This window comes from Homo sapiens, chromosome 21, assembly GCF_000001405.40.
Source record: "Homo sapiens chromosome 21, GRCh38.p14 Primary Assembly".
NCBI lineage: Eukaryota > Metazoa > Chordata > Mammalia > Primates > Hominidae > Homo > Homo sapiens.
In genome coordinates, this window is record NC_000021.9 from 14,371,115 (window position 1) to 14,393,967 (window position 22,853).

The 22,853-nt window shown below is 35.9% G+C and overlaps 1 protein-coding gene and 1 long non-coding RNA gene across 3 annotated transcripts, besides 2 other annotated features; one reads left to right on the plus strand and one right to left on the minus strand.

Annotated features, from left to right (window-relative positions):
• Window positions 1-12,032, minus strand: HSPA13 (heat shock protein family A (Hsp70) member 13). The gene is made up of 5 exons (NM_006948.5): window positions 11,981-12,032; window positions 10,089-10,429; window positions 7,085-7,298; window positions 4,538-4,705; window positions 1-3,170 (listed from the first exon to the last, which is right to left on the minus strand). The coding sequence occupies exons 1-5, from the start codon at window positions 12,003-12,005 to the stop codon at window positions 2,503-2,505; spliced, it is 1,416 nt and encodes a 471-aa protein (NP_008879.3). The 5' UTR covers window positions 12,006-12,032; the 3' UTR covers window positions 1-2,502.
• Window positions 11,652-22,423, plus strand: LOC105369304 (uncharacterized). 2 transcript variants are annotated; one of them, XR_007067924.1, is made up of 2 exons: window positions 11,652-16,694; window positions 22,208-22,423. It is a non-coding gene; the product is annotated as an uncharacterized LOC105369304 (long non-coding RNA). The 2 variants fall into 2 exon arrangements; XR_001754959.3 differs by having other exon boundaries at window positions 11,652-12,423.
• Window positions 11,739-12,048: an enhancer, noted in NCBI's record as "active region_18270". NCBI's record gives its function as "activates an Ori minimal core promoter by ATAC-STARR-seq in GM12878 lymphoblastoid cells {active_cell/tissue: GM12878}" and the evidence as "EXISTENCE:reporter gene assay evidence [ECO:0000049][PMID:35858748]".
• Window positions 12,439-12,568: an enhancer, noted in NCBI's record as "active region_18271". NCBI's record gives its function as "activates an Ori minimal core promoter by ATAC-STARR-seq in GM12878 lymphoblastoid cells {active_cell/tissue: GM12878}" and the evidence as "EXISTENCE:reporter gene assay evidence [ECO:0000049][PMID:35858748]".
• Window positions 22,424-22,853: the final 430 nt, after the last annotated feature.

The following is a 22,853-nucleotide window of genomic DNA, read 5'->3' on the forward strand; positions in this document are numbered from 1 at the left end:
TTTAAAAAACAAACTGCAAAATGGTATTTATTTACATTAAAACATGAATTGCCTGTATACACACAAATATAAGAGGAACAATCTGTTATGCACAATAACTGTAATATTTAGTACATGTTATACACAGCAGTATCTGTTAAGTCAGTGGTTTGAGTGAAAACACAGTACCAAAACATTCCTGATACAAAATAAGTTACTCATTCACATATTCTAATCATACAAGACACTTAATATTTTAAAAGTTACATACTTCAAATAACACTGGCTAAATGTACAACTAAAGTTTATTAATTTTTTTTATGAAAAGACTTCAGATTGTTATTCATAAATGATCCCTTTCAGGATGCATTATCTTTTAAATAAATAAACTAAATTGACTTCAAGACTATTTATAAATAGCCCACTAAAATATGATTGAAGACATTCCTTCATTTTATTAAAGGTGTAGCTATATACTAGAGAATATGCTCAACTACTGCCTCCAAATTCCAACACTGTCATTCTAATTTGCAAATAGGAATTATTTAAATTCCAACTTCAGGACATGAGATGAGCTGCCTGCCCTATTTTGTCAATTGTTTCCAAAAGCATTAACGGATTAAGAGACTGTCTTGAACATCTCAAACATTTGAGAAATTCAAGGTTTTCTTTATGTTTTAAGCTGATCCTATATATGGAGATTTTGAGATAAATTGGAACACTTTTAGAAGACCTTCACAAAGAATTTTTCAATTCTAAAATCTATTACAGATTTATATAAAGTCCAAGAGAACATGTGAAATATTTTCATAATGCAGTGAAGGATTCATCTTTGGCATTTCTCCATTCATTCTAAAATAAGATACTTCAACAAACATTTTATACTTTTCTATCTACCTACTATACATATTTTCTATACACAAAAGTATTTGATTGAAATTTGTGTTTTAACAGCAATTTCATTGCTAAGAATTTTTTTTTAGATATGAAAAATATTAGTAACATTCAGCTTTTTACTATGAGAAGCTGAAGTTTTGATGTTGTTGAAATGAATTTGCTCAGTTTCCTTTTTTGGTGACCAGCATTTCAACATCCTATCGAATTCAGCAATGGATAAAGCAGAGATACTTTACAATAAAAAACAAAAAAAGGTGATCAGGATATAATTTTTGAATAATATGAAGCATTCCTCTATTAAGGAAAATATGTATATATATATATAATCTGTATCCATATATCTTCAAATACAATGGGTATGACAGAAATCAAACTGTTATATTTTCTTTCTTGGTCCCTGTGGTTTTTCTTAAAGGAAACAAACAACAAAAACAAACAACTCTGCTCCAAATGCCGATTTGTAGAAACCTTGCCACAATGGCTTCCACATTAGATTTCCACGTTACTTCCAGTATTCACAAATTTTTTGCTTTCATTACAAACTAACCTAATGTTTGAAAAGAGTCCAAGTGTGATTATTTAAAAATAATAATAGAAAACAATAACACAGCTTTTATAATTGAGCACATTTTCCTCATTCAAAACTAAATATGAGGAAAAATCTCCGTAAAACGGAACCAAAACCATTTAGTAGCTCAATTCCATGCTATATTCCCCAGGGCTTACTGAAAATATAAACAAAGAAACAAATACAGTAGGTAATTGATGCTATTTGCCAATGTTTGCAAAGGTCTCGGATAACAAAAATAAGATAGCAATCATGGCTTTATTATGACATTAACACATTCTTCAAATGCAATTACCAATTTTATTCTCTAACCAAACAGAATAATGGAAATCCAAGCAGAGAATGATGTACAGGACATAAAGGAACTAGAATATAATTGGGTATTTCTATTATATGGTGCTGAAACATTTGAATACCTTTAGAAATAAAATAAATTCATCTATTAAACACATAAAACTCCTGGAGAATGCAGATTACAAGAATATGACACTTAACAGGATACTGAATTTGTGAATGTAAATTTGTTATATAATATGGCAGTTACTGAATATTACGTATGCAGCTTATGCTAATAATACTGCTATCTTCCAACCACTGTAAATACCTGACATCAACACGGTCCTTCAAGTATAGTTCAAATTATTAGTTACATGTGATAATACAAGTAATTACCAGCTCCTGCTAATACAATTTAGTAAGAACTGGGAATCTCATAACTGGCACTACTTAATGTTTATAGAATATAATGTTAAGTGCATATGGTTATCAACCTCCAGAATCCAGAAAATATAGTTATCCATACTCTTTTAAGAGAGTTGTACCTCAATTTTATCATTTTAGAGTATTTGTTAGAATAGGATCTCTCCAAAATCAAACAGGATCAATCTGGTCACGTCTAATCCTAAGACAAAACACTATGTAAAATTTTCCTGTATCTAAATGTTGCCCTCTAGGTAAATCTGTGATATTTTAGAGACTTTCTTTTGTGGAAAAGGTAATCTGATAAATGGGAAGAGATCATCAGACAAGTTCACAAATAACCATTATTTCTGCAGAATTCAGTTGAAGTTGGTTTTTTGTAAATGCTTATTGGGAATTTCTAAAGCACTGACTTGGAGAGGCCAAGAGCCTCCATCAATCCCTGCTTGGATAGCCACTCCCGTTACTACTGCTAGGTCAGGGTCTACAGATGTGTTGGGATCTTTTCCAAAGAACTCTTGAATGACTTGACGGATCCGAGGAATACGAGTGGAGCCCCCAACTAAAACCACCTCATCAATCTCAGTCTTTTCCAGGTGGCCTTCTTTCAATACTTGCTGAATGGGTACCAGTATTTTCTGAAAGAGGTCTTCATTAAGGGTATCAAAGAGTTTCCGTGATATTTCTGTTTCAAATAAAACCTGACTTTCTCCACTTTTCTTATCAGAAAGGCCACGTCCAAACCCACTGTTCACGCGATGGTCATCTGCTGAGGAAAGTTTGTCTTTTGGCAGTTCAGTGTCACTACTGTGAGGTTCCTTCCTGTCCTGCTCCTCCACCGTTAGTAATACTGACAACTGAGCAGATTGATGAAGAGTCAGATTTAATTTGACCATTTCCACAGCTTGTCTCAATCTGTGGATTTCCTCTTTCCTAGAGGGCACGAAGCCATATGTTTGATAGATCTGTTTATATAAGTACTGAAGCAATCTCTGATTGAAGTCCTGTCCTCCAAGTTTATTGTTTCCTGAGTGAAAAATAAAAGTTTAATATAGTTATGCATATATGTGTGTATGTATACACGTATGTTATTATGTATACGTAAAAATTATATTCTGGGAATAACAAATCCCTGTTTCATGTATCATTACAATTTTATTCATACAGAGACTGGTTAAAAATAACTGTGTTGCTGGGCATGGTGTCTCACACCTGTAATCCTAGAACTTTGGAAGGCTGAGGTGGGAGGGTTGCTTGAGGCCAGGAGTTGGAGACCAGACTGGGTAACATAGCAAGACCCTGCCTCTATAAAATAAATCAATAAATAAAAATTTAAAAAATAATGACTGGGTTAAAGCTATCTTAACCCAAATAAGTACTATTTAAAAACTAGTGCACATCAGGGTCAAAATTTTAAATTATATAAAAGGAAGTATCTCTTCACAATATCAAATAATTTTTCAGTAAATAGAGATTAAGAATACAGATTGGCTTATAAGTAGCTATTTAAAAACACTGAATGTCATTCTCAACAGAAGAAAGTGCTTCTTATAATGAAAAAGTAGGTATTTAATCTCTTTTTTTCCTTTCATTTTTTCTTGCCTGATTAGGACCTGAAAAGGTCTTTCTACTTTTCTACCTGAAAACTAGATAAATAATTTCAAAGGAAAAGAGTAGTGTAATATAATTTCCTGGTATTTAACTTGATTAGAAAAAGAGAAAAAAAAATGCAGAGGTTAGAATACCTGTAACTTACAACTCAACGTGTCAAACAGGTTGAATCCCTTAAGCTAAATTCGACAAAATAAAAACGTTTAAAAAAGGGTTTAGAATGCATAATCCTATCATTTCCTAGGGAAAAATACAATTAGACTTTCTAAAGACATCTACTTTATAAAACATATTAAATGAAATATACTGATCACCCTTCATTTTAAAGAAATTTTTCTTCCCTCTGTTCCCTTTCTTCACCATCACCATGAAAAGTCCTACTGGCTATGTGAGCCGTAATTGGGTAACTGGCAATGTATTTATGCGACTTATAGGATGCCCAGCATTTTTTGAGATTTAACTTTTTGCTGTAAATATATACAAATGGTATAAAATTACATATACAGAAAACTATCAAAATGAAGTCAAAGAATTCTGGGGGAAAAAAAGGATGCATTACACATTGGATATGTTAAAGAAAGCACTGCCCAAACCTCTTCAACTCTCCCTGCATTTTTCTGTAATTTTTTTTTTTTTTTTTTTTTTAGTAGAGACAGGGTTTCACCGTGTTAGCCAGGATGGTCTCGATCTCCCCATCTCGTGATCCACCCGCCTCGGCCTCCCAAAGTGCTGGGATTACAGGCGTGAGCCACTGCGCCCAGCCTCTCCCTGCATTTTTCTTACCAGACATTGCTCGGGTTAGAAACATCCCTCCTTGTTTATTCAGTAAAGACACATCTAGAGTTCCTCCGCCCAAGTCTATCACCAAGACGTGGAAGACGTCAGCCTTGTGGAGACCATAGGCCATAGCTGCTGCTGTGGGTTCATTTATTACCCTCAAAATCTTCAGTCCTGTAAGATTGGTTAAGGGAAGAAAAATTCATGAGAGGATGCGATCAAGTAATCTCTTCCCACTTACAGCATGTTTGTGTCTTCTGTGACATGAACTCCACCACTGAGTAATAATGAGAGCAGTCACAAACCGAACAGAAGCATGAAATGGGAACAGTAAACATAGGCTCTTCTAAATGCTATCTTTAAAATTATTCTGAAAGATTACAATATAAAGAAATAAAATCCAAGGTTCAGTGCAATAAGTCATTCTACTCTTTATTAATTAACACTTAATTTTCAAAAAGTCTCCCAGCCTTTTCTAACATTCATATTCTACTTTGGAATATATGAGCGATAAAAATTTAATCATTATGCCGAGGTGGGCGGATCACGAGGTCAGGAGATCAAGAGACCCTCCTGGCTAACACGGTGAAACCCCGTCTCTACTAAAAATATAAAAAATGAGCCGGGCGTGGTGGCGGGCGCCCGTAGTCCCAGCTACTAGGGAGGCTGAGGCGGGAGAATGGCGTGAACCCGGGAGGCGGAGCTTGCAGTGAGCCGAGATCGCGCCACTGTACTCCAGCCTGGGCAGCAGAGTGAGACTCCGTCTCAAAAAATAAAAAAAAATAAAAAATTTAATCATTATATACTATCACTAAGTGCTATGGAAATTAAAGAGGCTTATGTTGAGCAGGTAAAAGATCAGGTTTCTTTGAATGAAATTCCTGCTTTAAACTAAATGCCATACTTATGAGCGGTATGCAAAGTAGTATGGCATTATGTATCAGGAGCTATGACAACATTCAAACTCTAAAGAATTATTCCAGAGATCATAACACCCTTCACTTCAGCTCTCTGATTTTACCACTTATTCTACTCTGGCCACACTGACCAACTTCCTATCCTCTATGTACCAGCAAATTCCCAGCTTATGGCTGTTGCAGTGGCCATCTCTTCTTCCTACAACACACTTTCTCCATGCGTCTGCATGGTTAAGTATTTTGCTTTCTTCAAATGTGCTTAAATGTTACTTTCTCAATGAGGTTTGCCTGATCACCCTATTTAAATTCTACAAGTCATCCATCCCCTGACCACCAAAAGCAACCTTGACCCATTAGCCTGCTCTTTTCTTCATAGTGGTTACTTTCTGATATACATTGTATCAGTGGCTCTCAACAAGACAGGATTTTACCTCCAGAAGAAATCTGGCAACATATGGAGACATTTTTCATTGTCACCACTTGGTGGAGGAGGGCGCTGCTAGCATCTGGTGAATAGAGGCTAGGGACGCTGTTAAATATTTTGTAGTTTACAGGACAGTCCTCCACAATAAAGAATTATCTGGCCCAAAATATCAGTAATGTAGAGGCTGAAAACATTATTAAATTTACCTTTTATGCTCATTCTGTGTTTCCCTCTGGTAGAACATAAGTTCCATGAGAACAAAGATTTCTTTCTTTTTTTAGTAAGGCCCTCAATATTGGTTCAATGGCATTAAATGTTAAATCATTAAATGATCTATCTCAGATTTTACTTAAAAAATTATATTCACCTTAACATTAACGGAATTTAGAAGAAAGAATTCCTCACTGCTAACATGTGTCCATTTTCTCTTTGAGCCTTTGTCCTGTAGCATCTGATTGGTTCTTGTTAAATACATATTTTATATTGTGCTATAGAGCTTTCAAAATTATAAACCTGTATAAAAATCTATCTACTTTACCTACATTGATGGTTAATATTATCATCTTGATTGGATTGATGGATGCAAAGTATTGTTCCTGGGTGTGTCTGTGAGGGTATTGCCAAAGGAGAGTAACATTTGAGTCAGTGGACTGGCAGAGGCAGATCCACCCTCAATCTGGGTGGGCACCATCTAATCAGCTGCCAGAGTGTGCCTGGAATAAAAGCAGGCAGAAGAATGTCGGAGGATTAGACTGCCTGAGTCTTCTGGCCTCCATCTTTCTCCCGTGCTGGACGCTTCCTGCCCTTGAACATCGGACTCTAAGTTCTTTAGCTTTTGGACTCTTGTACCTACACCAGTGGTTTGCCAAGGGCTCTCGGGCCTTCGGCCATAGACTAAAAGCTGCACAGTTGGCTTCCCTACTTTTGAGGTTTTGGGACTCAGACTGGCTTCCTTGCTCCTCAGCTTGCAGCCAGCCTACTGTGGGACTTCACCCTGTGATAGTGTGAGTCAATACACCTTAATAAAATCCCTTTCATATACACATATATACTATCAGTCCTGTCCCTCTAGAGAACCCTAATACACCTACCATATAGTTTGTTTATTTTGACTATGGTTGTGTGGTTTGGGAAGTGGTAAACCTTACTACAGAAGGTTTTCAACCCAACACAATTTTGAGAAAAATGCATCTCAGTCAAGGGTACTGTTACCTGCAAGGTTAGCAGCTTCAATTGTTGAATTTCTCTGTTTTAGATCAAATTCTGCTGGTACAGAAATGACAGCATTGGCAACTGGCATTCCAAGATATGCCTCTGCCATTTCCTTTAACTTCAACAATAGTCGAGAGCCAACATATTCTGGGGACACTGTGATGGTCTCATTACTTGTCACAGAAAACTCAACCATTCCATTTTTGTTTAAAACCTGTGAATAGGATTTGCAAATAAGTAAATAAATAAAAGAGTAAAAGCATACAGACATACATATATACATAAATACTAGATTTCATGAGAACTTACCCTTATCTTTACAAAATCAAAAAATGCATTTGAAATCTATCTAGTACATTTACCAAGATTAGAACTTGTTAAATGTTATACATTAAAATCTGTACAATGAATCCATATTAGTTTTACTTTTTTTTTTTTTGAGATGGAGTCTTGCTCTGTTGCCCACGCTGGAGTGCGGTGGCATGATCTCGGCTCACCACAACCTCCGCCTCCTGGGTTCAAGCGATTCTCCTGCCTCAGCTTCCCAAGTGGCTGGGAGTACAGATGCGTGCCACCATGCCTGGTTAATTTTTGTATTTTTAGTAGAGACAGGGTTTCACTATGTTGGCCAGGTTGGTCTTGAACTCCTGACCTTGTGATCCGCTCACCTCAGCCTCCCAAAGTGCTGGGATTACAGGTGAAAGCCACCGTGCTTGGCCCACACTAGTTTTTAATAACAGCAGAATAAAATTCATCACCACGCACATGACTAGAACACAAAAGATTCTCAATATATTTTTGCTGAATAAAGAAAGAATAAATGATGAAATGTAAGAAATAAAAGTTGCTCATTCAAGTATGTAACTCAGAATCTTTTCCCTTTTTTTCCCAAATTTCTTGTTTCTAAGAGTAATGGATAGCTGAAAGAATTTTCTAGTACATATTAACAAGAATAATTTTAGTACATCATTATGTACTTATCCAAGAATCAAATCTCATTTACATTCTTGTTTCCCATGAAAACATGTATTGTGCATTAGCTCATTGTCCCCGATAATGTGGGTGTACATTTAAAAAACTATTTTAACTCTAAAAAATACTATCCTAGTTTTACCAAGATTCTATTAATATAAATAAAAAAGAGAATTAATCTAAGAAATTATAAGAATGTTTTCTCACTTCAGGCCTCATAGTTAGGTTTCCATCATGAAAAACTGACCTTCCAAAAAGTACTTCACTAGTCTGGGGAAAACATAAAGAAGCTACATGGACAATATTAAACTAAGATACAAATATACCAGAACCATCAGTGCCCACATGAAACAAAAACAACAACAAAAAAATCAGATCACTTAGAAACATTAAGTAGTTTTTGGGTCAATAAGTAACGTACCCAAAGCTGTAATTCAGAGGGCATATATAGCTTTAGATGATTTTTTCATTAAAGATTGTAAGTCAGTAAAGAATCCCAAAAAAGAAGTCAAAAAACAACAAAGTAATAAACCTAAGAAATGCAGGGAGCAATTTTTTTTTCTTTGAAAACGGATGAAAAATTTGAACATTTTTATGGCTAGGTTTATTCAATAAGCAGCACTGATACAACTGTCTATTTTGAAACTAAATAATGGCCGGCATGGTGAAATCCCGTCTCTACTAAAAATACAAAAATTAGCCAGGCGTGGTGGCACACGCCTGTAATGCCAGCTTGGGAGGCTGAGGGAGGAGAATCACTTGAACCTGGGAGGCAGAGGTTGCAGTGAGCCAAGATCATGCCATTGCATTCCAGCCTGAGAGACAGAATGAGACTGTCTCAAAAAAAAAAACAAAAACTAATTCATTTAGAATTTCACTTCATTTAGAATTTCACTTCATAACTTCCAAGAAAAACTCCACATGGAAAAAAGCTTTAAATGTTTAAAAGAAAAAAAAAGCAGCGAAATCCAAACCAACAAATACATAAACGTATTAAGAGGGAAAAAAAAGTAGCAGTGGATAGGATGGGATAGGCTACAGTAAACATGATAAGAGTCTAAAATCAAAAATTTAAAACTTTGACATCCAGCTCAAAAACATCAGTGAAAAAAAAAAGGTAAGGAAAAGATAACAAAAACATATAATGAAGGTCTTTTATAGCTCACTAAGGAAAAGAAAAACACACCAAAACAAAAAAGGACAAAGAAAAATGGACCATAAAAGAAAATTAAAATATCAATAAAATTCTAAAAATTCTGATCTCACTAAAAAAAATCAAAATAAATAAAAATTAATACAGGATACTATTTTTCACTTATCTGACTGTTAAAGATTAAAAAAAATAACTAGCGAAGATACAGCCACTCTAAAAAATTATGGTTAAGAGCATATAACCTTTCTGGTGAGCAAACCAGAAAAATAAATCAAAAGCCTTAAAAACGTACACATTTGACCTATCAATTAGACTTCTAGCATTCAAGTTAGGAAACTTTCAGAGAAGTGTACAAAGATAAGTAAGGATATTACCGGAATCTCCAACATTAGTGAAAAACCACAAAAAAGTACACTGATAGAGACTAGTCTAATTAATAATGGAATAGTCATTCCACAAAATCATTAAAGATAATGACATGATCCTATTAATTATCCATGACATATTAAATAGCAAAAAATAGCACACCTGGTATGTTCTCTTTATATGTATATAAATATGTACACATACACACACAGAATATCTATCTATGGTACACAGGGCTTCATCAACCTTCCTGCTACCTTGAAAGAGCTAAGCAAGACATGCTGAGGATGGGACAGCAAGAAAATGGCAAGGCCTTAAGTACCTGTTAGCATTATGGAGTCAGTGATTAACTGATCCTATAGCTGCTGTGGAATTTCTGGTTATGTGAGATAACAGAACTTTCATGTATTAATAGATAAAACTAGACGAGATAGAATGTTTTGTGACATGAAGCCAAAGCATTAACTAAAAGAGTACACTAAAATTAATATAGATTTTAGATTAATCACTTACCTTAAATGGGTATCTGCCAATTTCAGCCTCCAACTCTTCTGCGGTAAAAATCTTGCCTATGAATCTTTTGGCATCATATATTGTGTTTTGAGGATTTGAATCTGCCAGCTCTACGCTTTCATATCCCACATATACATCATTGTCAGTAAAAGACACCATGCTGGGTATGCTGATATGCCCATTTTCATCTGGAATCACCTTTACTTTTCCTGTGCCAGGAAAAAACACCCCAACAGAACAATAGGTGGTGCCAAGATCAATACCAATCACTTTAGGAGTAGGCAATGGTAAATACTGTTGTGCCAAATAGCCGGCCAACAGGAGAGTCAAAACAGCCGATCCTGAAATAAAGGAAAATTAAAAGATGTATTTTATCAAACTAGTACAATGTACTAAATTACTGTAGCAAAGTCCCTTTAATATCACTCGTTGAAACAAGGCTAAAAAAGACAAATTTCAAAATTTTTTATAGGACTGCTGATAGCACTCCTCTCAGACAGCAAGTTTTTCAAAATGTAAACTGGTTATAATAAAATTTAAAATGAAGTAAACACAAACAACAAAAAACCCTATAACTGTATGTTTGTGTCATTCTCTAATAAATGTAATAAAATGTAAAAATATTTCAATAATATTTGTGCAGATGCTGACAAGAAACAACATTTATCTGGAGCAAAAGCCAGATATAATCTAATATTCTTGATCAATTGATATTTAGATTTTACAGCTTTATAAAAAGCTTCGATTATCTTTTTTTAAAAGCTCCATTATTAAAATTCTCACAAGAAAAACTTTATTATTTTATAAGTCTAAAATTCTCTCCTCGTATCTCACCTCCTTTTCCCTTTCAAAAGGATGAAATGAATAAATGGGATAAAATGATTTTGAAAGTTCCTTAGATATGAAACTGTCACTTCAAAACAGAACACAGTTAACTTTTTATGTATTTAAGTATGAACTAGGGACTTCCTTCTTGCAGTGGTAATATTTAGGGGAGAAGAAGCATAAAGGTGGGCAACCCTGACGGCAACATCTATGAAAGCTTCTTGAAGACAAGTTTCGTTCACTGTTGTATCCCCCAGACCAGGAATAGCAGATGCCCAACAAATACTAATTTAAAAAAAAAAGAAAAAAGAGTAGGAACAAATGCCACGCAGATTGTAAACATAAGCGAAGAAAGATGCCCCTTTAGTTTTTAATGAATCTCGTATTTGGTATCAGGAGGCTGTGTTATACACCTGTGTCCGCTCATATTACATATGACCCAAAACATGAATTTTCAGGGCTCTGTGTTACTAATTGTTAGCTCATCCTCATCAACACATAACTCAAAGAAATAAAACCAAGTGCGAATCCCACTTTCCACTTCCAGCTACAGGCAACATTTCAGAAGCATTTCATCACCTTGGAGACGCGGGGTGGGTGTGTGTGTGGGTGGGGGATAGGTAATTCCAAACCCGATGTGATGGAAAAAGCCTCCAAATTCAGCATCCCTGAGCCGACAGATCCGGATGTAGCTCCTCCCCCTTCCTCCACAAAGGGGTCCTGGAGGTGCACGTTCTCGCAGCCTTCCATAGCTTGCCCCAATTCAACAGGCAATTCAAAAACCTAGGTGCTGTTGAAAGGAACGCCTCCCTAAGCCTGATGTCCCTGGGATGGACACAGCTGGTCGCCGTCTATCCTACCTTGGCCTGCAGGGGCCGGGGCCCTCCTAGAGGCGTCCCCGCCCCCATCCACTCCGAACAGCCGAAAACCGTCTCTAAGTCACCTTTCTGACTCCCCTTCCGCTGCTCCAGCTAGATCCAGGAGGTGAGTCAACCACCCCTGCCCACTCTGGCATCCTCAGATCGCCTCTACGCCCGCAAGAGCAACAAGGACCCCCGGGAACCCACCTAAGATCGTCATCTCTCTGGCCATCACAGTCCCGCCGAACAGGCTTGTGATGACTGTACCAGACGTGAGGCACCGCCCCCACTCCTCCCGGCAGTCCCGCAGCCCCCTGGGAAATGTAGTCCGCTTGCTCTGAGGCAATCGGAGAAGCTATCGCTCTGACCAAAGCAAGGACTTCATCTACCGTGAGGGCGCGGGGCAAAGAGCCTCCATTCAACCGCTGCCAGTGACGACTGAGTCCCCCTTCCACGCAACGGCCGGCAGGACCAGTGAGACTGAGGGGGAGGAGCGCCGTGGCGAGAGACTGGCGTTTATAATCAAACCTGTGGTCCCGCGATCCTACTTGAGGGAAAACAGGCTATCTCTTTAGCCCCGCCCCGCGCTTTGCATTCTGGGAAGCGGAGTTCCAGCCTTTCTCTTTCCGCGGGAGGGAATGAAAGGGAGGGTGAGAACCGTTAGTTATTTCTTTCTTTGGTCGTGCCCCTAATCAGGTCCAGGATTCGAGTTTGTGTTCTTTCGTTTTAATTCCTTTTAAAGCGCGTTCGTTTGCCTGAGATCTAGCTTCTAGATGGCGTTCCTATAGCCTCCCGGAGCCCCAGCCATCCTCCGTAGAAGGGTCCCTGCCGCAGTGCGGGGCCTGAGGGAAGTCGGCTCTGGCGTCCGTGCTCCAACGCTGGGAGCAGCCCTGAAACTCCAGTGACCCTCAGCCGTCTGCCTTTGTTTTGGGATAAATGAATTCAAGCATTCTTCAGTCAATTCGATTTATCCAAGGGATCAGGGACACATTTTCTCTATTGCTAGCACTGACGTGGGCCATTAAAAACAAAAACAAAAACGAAATTAAAAAGAAAACCCTTAGCTCTCTCTTCAAGTAAGTCTTAAGTGGCCAAAATTGACCTTATGGGCAAGTCCTGTAACGTGACAGCCATTTTAGGACGCTTGTGACATGCTGTTCAGGTTCTAGTCTGAAGTAGGATTTTTCTCGCATCTTGGTCACTGGTAGCACTTAATGACTCCTCTGAGAGTGGTTTTGTCATTTTTGCTGTTAGAGTTCACGATAACTAAGATCCTGGAGAATTGAATCCATTTTCTCAGCTTAGATATAAATCAAACCATCCCTGTTGACAACACGTCAGCCTGCTGTGGGAATACATTGCTGGTTATTTCTGACTTATCAATGTGAATTTTGATTATGGAAGCTGAATTCTGGTTGATAGGGATCCATTGTAATGTTCTCTCTACTTTTGCGCATTTTTAAGTATTTCATAATGCGAAATATAAAAAGTGTGTGTCTATAGTGAGTGCTGTTCAATAAGATTCTTATAAGGAGTGAAGAATTCAAGCACTTAGTTCTTAAGTATTACTTGTAATGGGCAGTGGGCTGGAGGTGTTCCAGGCAGACGGAACTCAATTACCAAGAGCACAGAAGCAAGAGATCATCTATTCCATAGATTAGAAAGTGGTGGATCATAAAGCATGAGGTAGAATTCTGAGAGACAGAACTAGAGACTTAAACCAGATTAAGATTAGCCGTCTGTGACAAGCACTGGTCATTGGGATTCTCCCTGCCACTCACTCCTTTCTCCTTGCTAACAAGATCCTGATTTGTTCAAGAAGCAGGTAAAGATTATGTGATCTCAGAGTAGAAGGCCTTTAGAATTAAGATTGAACTAAATAGGTTGTATTCATTTTCTATTTCTGCCTTAACAAATTACCACAAATTTAGTGTCTTAAACCAACTCAAATCTATTATTTTTACAGTTCGGTATATCAGAAATTTGGTATGGGTCTCACTTAACTAAAAGCAAGTTATTAGCAAAGCTGCATTCCTTTCTGGATGTTCTAGGGGAGAATCAGTTTCCTGCTAATTTGAGTTATTGGCAGAATTCATTTTCTTGCAGTTGTAGGGTTCAGGTCTTCATTTTCTTGCTGGCTGTAACCTGAGAGCTGTTTCCAGTTTCTGAGGCCATACACATATCTTAGCTCAGAGACCCTCTTTCTCCATCTTCAAAGCCAGCAACAGCGGGTCAGGTCCTTTACAGAGGACATTTTTTTGCATCGCTCTTCCAAATTTTAGATGTCATGTGTTTACATTGGACCTATCTGGACAACTCAACGTAATCTCCATTTCAAACCCTGTAAACTTATCATATCTGCAAAGTCCGTTTTGCCATGTAAGGTAACTATTCACGAGTTCTAACAGTTTGAGGAGGCCTTTATTATGCCTACTAAAATGGTTCTGTGGCCCCTCAGATTCACATCTGTCCACATACAAAATGCAACATCCACCAAAGTCCCATCCCATTATAGCATGAACTCAAAGTCCAGAAAGTTCATCTATACTTCATCAGTTCAAAAGTCTCGCATCTCATTATCTAAATCAACTAAATGGGGTAGTAACTGATACCACTTATCCCTTCTTGTTTGTTTACAATCAGAGGAACAATGAAATACTTAGATAAGAATGCTGGTGAGACTATTCCAGTAATGTTATAAAGAACAGAAAAGTCAAGGCACTGGGGTTGGGAAGTAATCATTGTTATCATTCTCCAATAGTGACCAATTAATTCGTTGTTTTTATAGTTATTGTTTGGTGTTTTATGTTACAATCCATTGCAATTATTATCCTTCTTGATACTTAGATTGCTTTAATTTTGGCCGATGGCAGCCTCTTCAAAATTCACTCATGAATGCTTTTGACACAATCGCTTTACTTACTGCCTTGCTACCTGCTCTAAAAAGATATCTAGAATCCTCTTATTTTTTTTTGTTTGTTTTGTTTTGTTTCATACTTATAATTAACTGTATGTCTAAGGAACCCTGCTTTCTTTTATTAAGAAAGTGTGGTATCTGGAGACCATAATTTGTATGCCAGGGGGTTATTATTTTAAGGGTGCCAGTTCTTTTTATATCTTTGAATTCAGTGAAATATCAAATAAAAAGCCAGCAGGATATTTTATGACTTGATAAAATGACAATAAAATTTATTTGGAATATTTAAGATAAGAATTTAATGGGTATATAGTCCTTGCGCATGTTAAGTGACAAAACTACAAACTTAATACTACAGAGGAAACAGAAAATGGACTTTAGGCTCAGCAGCAGCACATGCTTGTAGCCCCAGCTACTCGGGAGACTGAGGTGGAAGGAACACCTGAGCCCAGGATTTTGAATCCAGCCTAGGCAGCATAGCAAGAACCCTATTGCAAAAAACTAAATAAAAGAAATAAAAATAAAACAGACCTAAGAAGAAAGTGGCAATCTCTTCAAAATAAATGAAAGCTATATTATTCAACAAATGTAACAGGGCAGTTGGCTATTTATAACTTTGAATGTAAAAAGGGATATTATACCTTAACATCAAAATAAATATAAATAGATAAAATGTTTAATTAAATAACTACAAGTAGTTTTATTCATTAACTTAGGGGTAGGAGAAGTCTTTGAAATTAAGACTTAAAACCTAGAAACAAATAAGGCAAAACTAAACTTAACAGATAAATTTGATTATGTAGAATTTAAGATTATCTAGCAGGCAGAATTACCTATTTGAATTTATATGAAGTCAAAAGACAAATGACAAACTGAAGAAATACTAAACATACATCATGATCTATAATAGATTTAATTCCTTTATGGAGAATTCCTTCAGAGTATAAAGGTGTACAACTCAATTGAAAAATAAGAAAGGACATAGACAATAGAAAATAAAAATAACCAACAAACATGAAAATATATTCTACCTTAGTCACACTTAAATAAACATAAATCAGAATAATAACATGTCATTTCTACCTATCTGTAATCAGTTGAATTGTGGCCCCCTCCAAAAAAGGTATGCTGGAGTGCTAAACCCCTGTACCTCAGAATGTGACTTTATTTGGAAATAAAGTTGTTGGACATATAATCAGATAATATGAGGTCACACAGAAATAGGGTGGTCTGTTAATCCAGTATTACTGGTATCCTTATAAGAAAAGGGCCATATAAAGGCACGGAAACACAAGGAGAATGCTATGGGATGACCAAGGCAGTGATTAGAGTTATGTAGCTACAAGCCAATGAACGTCAAAGATTGTCAACAAACCAGCAGAGCTACGAAGAGTCAATAAAGGATTCCCCTGCATGTTTTAGAGGGGACATGCCCAACTCATATTTTGATTTTGGACTTCTAATCTCCAAAACTATGAGACAATAACATTTTGTTGTTTTAAAGCCATGCAGTTTGTGATAATTTGTTATGGCAGCCCTAGGAAACTATATACTATCTTACTGGAAAAATATTTAAATAATGATAAGCAGTGCTAGTGAATGTGTCTGTTGCTCATGATAGGCCTGTTTGTGGAGTACATTTTGAAAGGGTAATATTGATTAAAATGCAGGGCACATAGACTTACATTTACAGCCATTATTATAATGAATAGAATTATTCTTTCTCCACAGAGAAAGAGATGGAAAACAGCACAAAATTAGATGAAATAATAGTTTCAGACTTTGGAGAATAGGCAGAGAAACACTATGATCCCTGAGAAAAAAGAGATAAACCACGTAAAGTCTATAGTCATCCTGTATTTTTATTGAGAGACACACATGCAAGACCACAGTGTAGACGAAAGTCCCAAGGAGAGTATATGGCCTTGCCTTGTATAGAAGACACATACCAGAGTTCAGGCGTTTTGGAAGGAGGCTGAAGTTGCAGCAAAGGGCTCTGAAGAGGTAAGCGCTATATAGAATACCAGAAATCCCCAAAATATTGGGATACCTTTACTTCACACCATACACAAAAATTAACTTGAAATTAGTTATAGATCGAAATGTAAGACCTCAAAACTCAAACTACAAATCTGTAGGAAAACGCATGAGAGAAGATATTTGTGATCTTCTTGTAGGTAAAGATTCCCTACATGTGAAATAAAAAGCATGAATCATAAAAAAGTTGATAAATAGAATGTCATTAACATTAAAAATTTCTATTCTTACATGCCATCAAGAAATGAAAAGTCAACTCACGAACTGAGAAAATATAGTACATATATCTAACAAAAGACTTGTATCTAGAGTTTATGAGTAACTCTTACAACTAAATAATAATATAACAGAAAATACCTAGTTAAAATTTGGTTGTAAGATTGTAATAGAGATTTCATAAAAGAAAATATACTAATAGCCAATAAACACATGGTAAGATAGTTAACACTGGGGACAAACAAAACCACTACACGTCCACTACAATGGCTAAAATTTAAAGGTTGATTCACTAAGTGTTGACATAGATAGGGAACAACTGGAATTCTTATACATCACCAGCAATATTATAAAATGGTACCTTAACTTTGCAAAAACAGTTTGACAGTTTCTTATGTTGGTAAACATATCCTTACCATATGACTCAGCAATTTCACTTGATATTTAACCAACAAAAATAAAACCATATCAAAAAAAATTGTGCAAGGATGTATGTAGCAGTTTTTCTTGCAGTAGCCACAAACTAAATCATAGATCCATTAACAGTTGAGCGAATAGTTTTACTGTACAATTGTGCATAAGAAGTATTAAAATGTGTCCACACAGTGACTTATACATGAATGATTTGGGAATCTGTGTTCCTAATGGCCTCCAAACAGAAGCAATACAAATTCAGCAGGTAAATGGAGATGCCAATTATGGTATATCCATATAACAGAATACTACTCAGCAACAGAAAGGAATCATTGATGAATACAATAACATTATGATGAGCTAAGCAGAAGAACCCAGGCACAGAAGAATTTCTACTCTGTGATTAAATGTATAGGAAATTCTAGAAAAGAAATACCTAATACACAGTGAAAGAAAGCAGGGCAGTAATAGCTGAGATGCAAGGAGGTGATTGACTGGGAAGAGGCACCAGGGAAGTTTTTACAATGATGCAAATGTTCCACATCTTAACTGTGGTAGTGGTCACATGGATATAGATCTATATTTCTCTACATAGATATCTCCTTGTGTAAATACTTATGTATATAAATATATCTCTGTCAAACTCATTAGATTGCACAGTTAAAATGGATGAATTTTATTTTATGTAAATTATACTTAAATAAAGTTATTTTGAAAAATAAAATTTTCTATACCTGAAAACTGTGAAGAAGAACACCAGAAATTCTAAGTATTCTACTGCTAGGAATTTATAAATATTCTTATGAAAGTACACATCTTAATTGCTCATGGCAGGACTCTTTCCCAAAAAATAATTGGAAATGACCTAATCAACCATTTATGGCTCTGTCAAACAGTGGAGTTATAACAAAAAATGAAATTCATTTGTATTGTTGTATTTCTAAAAAGTGTTTCTAAACCGTGTTGTTAAGTAAAATCAATCAAGGTTTGGAGCACATATTAATTAATTACACATTAATACTACTTCGAGTGGATAGCCTAAACAATATGTGCTAATAGCATAAACATTTTATGTCCACTTTAATTTAATTTAAGCTTTAACTTATTACTGTCTTTACTATATTTTCTTATTTCTATTATCTTTTCATCTTTGAACCATTGGTTATTTAGAAGTGTGCTTCCCAATTTCCAAACATTTGGTGATTTTCTAATTACCTTTTTGTTATGATTTCTAGTATAATTATACTGTGGTTGGACAACATATTCTGTATGATTTTAATCCTTTGAAATATATTCACACTTGTTTTATTGTCTAGAATATATTCTGTTTTGGTGAATATTCCATATCTATGTGAAAAATGTGTGTTCTGCCATTTCTGGGTGTAGTATTTTGGAACTATCATTTAGATGTATTTTACGGCTTCTGTATCCTAGTTTTGTTCTTATTATTGTTCTAAATGCTTTATCTGTCATTGAGAGTTGTAGGTTAAAACATCCATCTATGATTGTGGATTTTCCCAATTGATGTGTGTGTGTGTGTGTGTGTGTGTGTGTGTGTGTGCTCTGTTTTTAGGCAAATACAAATTTAAGATTATAATTATTTTATTAGCATGAAATATTCCTTTTTATATTTAATAATACATTTTGTTTTAGAGACTACTTTGTCCCAGGATCAGAACAGAACTACACAGCAAAATTTAAGGTGATGCCTACTCTCTGATACCGACTCTGCAGTTGTAGGACCCTGAGAGTAAGCTCCCCCTTAAATTTTGTGCCCAAATGCCTCATCCTGTAAGAGGCATTCACTCTTATGGCAGTTGCACTTGCTTTCCTTGCCCTTGTTCCAGTCCTGATTTGTCTGATATTAATAGAGTAACTCCAGCTTTCTTTTGTTAGTATATCCTAAGTACATTTTCCCTATCCTATATCTCTTCACCCGTTTATCTCCTTATATTTAACATGTTTATTGTATGGAAGCTAAATGATGTGTACACATACACATAGAGTATGGAATAATAGACACTGGGAACTCGAAAGGGTGAGAGGGTGGGGTATGTGAGCGATGAGAAATCACTTAATGGGTACAATGTACGATATTGAATGATGGTTACACTAAAAGCCTAGACTTTACCACTATGCAATATATATCGATGTAACGAAGTTACACTTGTACCCCTTACATTTATACAGATTTTTTTTTAAATAGTGTCTCTTGTAAATAGTATATAGTTGGGCTTATGTTTTTGCAGTAGGATAATATGTCTTTTATTTATAGTCTTTAGTCAATTTACATTAACTATAGCTATGGATATAGATCAATGCATGGATTTAAGTCTATCATCTTCCTTTATTTAAAAAGTATCATTTTTTTTACTTCTTTCCTGCTGTCTTTGAGATCACTCAGTATTTTTTATTCCATTTTATATCTTTTATTTTTTCAGTTAAAAATCTTTTTCTTTCATTGTTTAGTGGTTATCGTAGTGATTTTAACATATATCTTTGACTTATTACATTTAGTCCTTTTATCATGTCTTGAAGGATGCAAAACTCTCACAGCACTTTTACTTATCACTCCCTACCTTGAATATTTATTGTTATATGTTGTATATGTACTACGTTATACACCCTACAAGTAATAATTATTACTATTTTTTTGTTTGTTTGTTTGCTTCGTTTTTTTTGAGACGGAGTCTCGCTCTGTCGCCCAGACTGGAGTGCAGTGGCTCCGCCCCCCGGGTTCACGCCATTCTCCTGCCTCAGCCTCCCGAGTAGCTGGGACTACAGGTGCCCACCACCACGCCCAGCTAATTTTTTGTATTTTTGGTAGAGATGAGGTTTCATGGTGTTAGCCAGGATGGTCTCGATCTCCTGACCTTGTGATCCGCCCGCCTCGGCCTCCCAAAGTGCTGGGATTACAGGCTTGAGCCACCGGACCCGGCCAACTATTGTTTTAAAGGCATCAATATTTTCCAAATTTTCTCACATATTTAACTTTTCTAGTTAAATATTAAATGTTATATTTTATTTCTAGTTAAATATTAAATGTTAAACATATTTAACATATTTAACATTTCTTTCATGTTTTCATTTTTGACCATTTTCCGTCAGCTTGAAAAATTTCATTAATATTTTTTGTAGTGCTGGTTTGTTGGCAACAACATTTTTTGAGGAGGGGCTAAAATATCTTTATATCATCTTCACTTTTGAAAAATATTTTCTTTAGATACAGAATTTGCGTTGGCAGTTTTAATTTCTTCCCTCTTTTTCTTTTATCACTTTAAAGATGCCATTCCATTGCTTTTGTCTGGTAAAATTATCCATAAATCTCATTCTTGCTTTTTGAAGAAGATGTGCCTTTTTTCTATGCCTGGTTTAAAAATCTGTTTCTCCCCCCCCTTTTTTTTTTTTGAGAAGTTTAAATACGTTTTGCCAAATATGGTTAATTTGCATGTGTCTCTCTTGAGGCTGACTGGGATTCTTGGATCTCTGGTTGTTGCCTTCATCAGATTTGGAAAAATTCTCATCCATAGCTCTTCAAATATTGTCTCTGTCCCTTTTCTCTTTTTCTGAGATTTCAATTGCGCATGTATTTGCCCATGTACTATATTAATTTTTGCCCTATATTTGTTAATACTTAGTTCTTTTCTTTCCATTTCTTTTCTGTCTTCAAGTTGAATTTTTTTCTGTCTTTATGTACACTAATAATTTCTTTACTGTGTCTAGTCAGCTATTAAACACATTCTAGAGTTTTTAATTCATGTATTTTATATTTTTCAGTTCTAGAATGTTTCATTTGATTTTTATATTGATTCTAATTGTATGTTAAAATTGTCTTTTCTTTCATTCCGCTCATCGTTTATTCTCTTTTATTTAAATTTATTCGTTAGTTATTTTAAAGCTTTTATCTGTTTAGTCCAATGATATCCATAGCTAGGGAGAAGAGGAAGTGTCCTTATATCATCTAATTTTTTTTCATTTTCTTTCGTTACGTTTTCCAGTTTATTCAGATGCCTCGTTTCTATACATGTTAGAACTATAGAGAGAGAGAGGTTGATGTTACTTTCCTCTCAAACAAGATTTTCCCTTTTCTCTTATGCAGGTAGACTGAGAACGAATCATCTCAGTACAACTGGGAATTTAGCCACATAGGGGTTGGATTCCACCGCAAGTAAAAAGTTAGTCCTTCTCTAAAGTACAGACATGCCCTGTGTTTGTTGCAGACCCCTCCCTCTAGAGGGACTTTATCTTTTAAGCATTTCAAGAAACAGGAGTTCCTTCTCTGCTTTGCACCACCTTAGCACTCATGTCTGGGGCTCCTTTAGATTCCCCTGCCAGTGTCCACCGAAAGCTCTGAGGGTTTCTGTTTCTCCTAGAGGAGTTCTTTGCTTAAATCAAGCTTAATCTTTACTATGTGCACAGATTTGGCAAATGCTGCCATGAAGAAAACTGTTGGTCTCATCTTTCCCAAGAAATATTCCATCTCTGGAAACAGTTCATTTAGTCCTCTTTGCATCCTCCCTACTTCGATGTCTTACAAACTTGACTTTGGGATGTATGCATTTTTTTCTATTTGTTGAAGTGGGAGTTGTAACTTGTACCCTGCCTTCTTCATTCCACTCAGTGGTTAAAATAGACCAAAATTTTAATGAGTTTATTACCTTTTATTGGTCCTGACTGGTACAAATACTGATAAAAAGGATTTTAAGATCATATTCATACTTTTGGGGAATGAGAGCCACAATTAATTAACAATGTCTGCCATGAGATTGGATGCAAGAGTATGGCACTCATACTATTCCTACTTCTGTCTAATTACACTATTTGTTTCTGTGTGCAAAAATCTTTGGTAGGTGGTGGATGTGCCCAAGACACAGGGAAGAAAAAGAAGTAAACAGGGAAGTACAACACAGACTCTGAAATGGGGCATCATGGAAGACGGAGCTTTGTCGTCTTGGTCTTTGCTGTATATTCACTTCCTACAACAGTGCTAAATACCTTGTGGATGCTTAAATATATTAAATGAATGCATAAATGAAAAGAGTAAATAAAGAGTGTATATGAAAGTATGTAGATAAAATTCTTCACTAAGCCTTGGGGATCCAGCTGCTTAAGGACTAAGACCGTATCTAGCTCCTTTTAGTATTTCCACAGCATGCCATGGAGATACATGTTTCTGATTATATATGATACATGGAAATTATATGTTGTTGAATGAGTGATTGAGTAAATGTGTACTAGGGCAGCTAATCATAAATATTTCTACTATTGCTAAAATGACTGGATTTATCCATTCCTTCTGAGAGTTTATACTGATTGCTTATATTGTATCAAATACCGTAACTGAGGGCAATGTTTACTCAAACTAATAGCACCATTCAAATTTATGCAAACAATAACACTATATCTTTAAAATGTTTTCACTAAAAGCTGCATAAAGAGTGTATTCAACAACAATAGAATAATTTTACAATCTTTTTTCTTGCTTAATGGCCATTT

Coding starts and splice junctions, on each gene's coding strand:
- HSPA13 (NM_006948.5), bottom strand. CDS start 12,005: ATGGCCAGAGAGATGACGATCTTAG. Junction 10,430..11,980: donor CAGAGAGATGACGATCTTAG/GTGGGTTCCCGG, acceptor CCTTTATTTCAG/GATCGGCTGTTTTGACTCTC. Junction 4,706..7,084: donor TGAAGCTGCTAACCTTGCAG/GTAACAGTACCC, acceptor CCAATCTTACAG/GACTGAAGATTTTGAGGGTA.